Genomic DNA, 3,384 nt, shown 5'->3' on the forward strand with positions numbered 1-3,384 from the left:
CCTCTATAGATGTATAAACTGCCATTTCTATGGCAAAGAGGGGGATGACTAAAGTTAACTCAATAGTTCTTAATTTCAATCAACATCATATAGGAAAGTGTAGATAGTGCTTTGAGTCTTAGAGTCCTTCTTGAATCCTATCTGTTTGTCCAATGGCTTGTGTGCCTTTGGGCAGGCCCTTTGACTCCATATTCCTCAGTAGTAAACTCTAGGATATTTTCCACAGTATATGGTTGATGAGGGAATTCAGTGAGCTAACTTATGTGCCTAGATCATAGCAGGTGACCAATATTATTAGTTTATTTCTACATAAACCTGTTCTCTCTTGCATCAGCAGCAGCTAAAAATTTCTGTCATTACAGTGTTATCTCACAGATTAAAACAAAATGAGTTGCACTTATCACATGCCATTGCTTCTCTATTTTTCTGTTTATTCTTGTGCTTGCTATCTGAAGATGATGCTGGAACTTGAGGCACTTAAAATATTTTAAATATAAAGTTTATTTTTGCAAGTTTAACTTAATGTGAGAACTTTCTCTGCCTTCATACTCAAATATGAGATATACTAGAAAAGCACTACACAAAACGTTATGTTTTGTTTGTGGTTTTTTTTTTTTTTTTGAGACTGAATCTCATTCTGTCATTCAGCCTGGAGTGCACTAGTGTGCTCTCGGCTCACTATAATCATCACCTCCTAGGTTCAAGCAATTCTTGTGTTTCCACCTCCCAAGAACCTGGGATAATAGCCATGCCCCACCACATGAAGCAAATTATCTATTTCTTTTTTTTTTACTCTCTTTCTTTTTTATTTTTTAAGATGGAGTCTCATTCTGTTGTCCAGGATTGAGTGTAATGACGCGAACTGGGCTCACTGCAACCACTGTGCTCGAGTTCAAATGATTCTCCTGCTTCAACCTCCTGGGTAGCTGGGAATACAGACACCCCAGTACCATGCCCAGCTAATATTTGTAGTTTTAGTAGAGGTGTGGTTTCACCATGTTGGCTGGGCTGGTCTCGAATTTTTGACCTCAAGCGATTTGCCCATAATGATTTTCCAGTGTTCTGGGATTACAGGCCTGAGCCACAGTGCCCTGCTGTATTTTTAGTAGAGATGGGGTTTTTCCATGTTGCCCAAGGTGGTCTGGAACTTCTGAAATCAAATATTCCTATTATCTTTGCCTCCCAAATTGCTGGAGTTACAGGCAGGAGCTACCATGACTGGCCAGTTTTACCTTACCTTTTCATATTTGAATCAAATTTATATTGCTATGATGAGAGCTTGTTGTTAGGTCCTTCGTTGCCTCTCAAAAATGGGGTGATAATCTTAGAAGCACTTGCTTCATGAGATGTGGTCCATAAAACTTCCTCTGTCCCAACTGTAGTGCAGAAGGCAATTTCTGCTACTGTAGTTTGGGTCTTTTTGCAGAGGTTCAGACATCTGTTTGGTGACCTTAGTTAAATTGTGGCACTATACTTAAAGGAGCCTGCCATATTTTACTTTTGCAGCACTATAAAGTCAACATTCAAATGTAAATTTTCCTTTTAAATTTCAGGTTGAGTTAATGTCTCCATTCCCAAGGACTGCTGAGAGTGTGTTCCTGTTACTATCCCCGGGAACTCTGCCATCCTTTGTGGGTAACCTGCATAAGTCACTCTCTATTAAAAAGATCTTAGATGATTTTGACTGTGGGGCCCATCTTCTTTCTGCCTGGATCCCAGTGGCTGCTGCCAGATGCACAGATTATATTAGATCTTGGGTCTGTCATCAAAAGGTAGACCAGATAACTCCTTCTGTGCATGGTAAAAGAGAGAAACAGGCTTTCAGATTAATTTGAGAATTAGAAAGAGTTATTTTTTTCGATACCATCATACATTCCACAAGCAATGAATGAATTCCTGTTTTTCCTCCAGCAAATCATTTGTCATGTTTTAAAAATGGTTTATCAGTTCCAGCAAATACAGTTGGGCCATGCTAACTCATTGTTGTAATTTTCAGTCCCTTATAGATATATGAGTTTGAGCATCTTATTGTTTGCTTGCCATCTGTGTATTTTCATTGGTGAGTTCAGCTCTTTACACCTTATTAATTGGGTAATCAATCTTATTTTTAAGTTTCAAGATTTGTGTATTTTCAGTGCAAATTCTCGCTTAGATCTGTATTTTGCAGATTTTTTTTTCAGTCTGTTGCTTATCTTTCTATTTCCTGAACAAGATCTTGCTCAGAGTATAAACATTTAATATAAGAAAACAAATTATTAATTATTTTTTACCATTACTGGTCGGCTTTGGTATCATTTGTTAAAACTTTTGACCAAACCCAAGATCACATAAATTTCTTTTTGTGCTTTCTTCTAGAATTTGCATAGTTTTACATTTCCAGTTAATGCCTCCTTCACCATTAAAATTTTAAAAAAATGGGGGGGATTGCTGGCAAGATGGCTGAATAAAAAGAGCTCAAGACTTCAGCTCCCAGAGAGATCGATGCAGAAGTTGAGTGATTCCTGCACTACCAGCTGAGGTACACTGTTCCTCTTATTGGGACTGGTTGGACAGTGGGTGCAGCCCATGCAGCATGAGCTGAAGCAGGGTGGGGCATCACCTTACCCGGGAAGCTAAAGGGGTTGGGAAATTTTCTGATTTACCCAAGGGAAGCTGTGAGGGACTTAGCCACGTGCCCCGTTCCACATATGTGCCTCTCTTATGGTCTTCACAACCTGCAGACAGGAGACTCCCTTTGGTGCCTACTCCATAAGGGCTGTGCGTTTCAAGCACAAAATGGGGAGGCTGTTAGAACAAACACTGAGCTAGATGCAGGAGTGTTTTTTTTTGTTTGTTTGTTTTTGTCTTTTGGTTTCCTTGTTTGTTTTCCATACCGCAGTGGTGCCTGGAATGCTAAGGATACTGAACTGTTCACTCCCCTGGAAAGGGGTGCTGAGGCCAAGCAACCAAGTGGTCTGGCTCACTAGGTGCCACCCGCAACGAAGGCAAGCAAACTAAGGTTCACCGGCTTGAAATTCTCACTGTGAGCAAAGCAACAGTCTGAGATCAACCTGGGATACTCCAACTTGGTGGGGGAGGGGCATCCGCTATTGCTGAGACTTGAGTAGGCCCTTATACCCTCATAGTGTAAACAAAGCTGCAGGGAAGTTTGAACTAGTGAAGCCAACTGCAGCCCAGCAAGGCTCATGTGTTCAGATTGCCAGATTTTTCCTCTCTGGCTAGGGCATTTTTGTAAAAATGGCAGTAGCCCCAGTCAGGGGCTTATAAATAAATCCCCCCTCTCCCTGGGACAGAGCATCTGGGGGAAGGGGTAGCTATGGATGCAGCTTCAGCAGACTTCAACATCCCTGTCTGATGACTCTGAAGAAAGCAGCAGACCTCCCA

The sequence above is a fragment of the Homo sapiens genome, chromosome Y (genome assembly GCF_000001405.40).
Source record: "Homo sapiens chromosome Y, GRCh38.p14 Primary Assembly".
NCBI classification, from domain to species: Eukaryota; Metazoa; Chordata; class Mammalia; order Primates; family Hominidae; genus Homo; species Homo sapiens.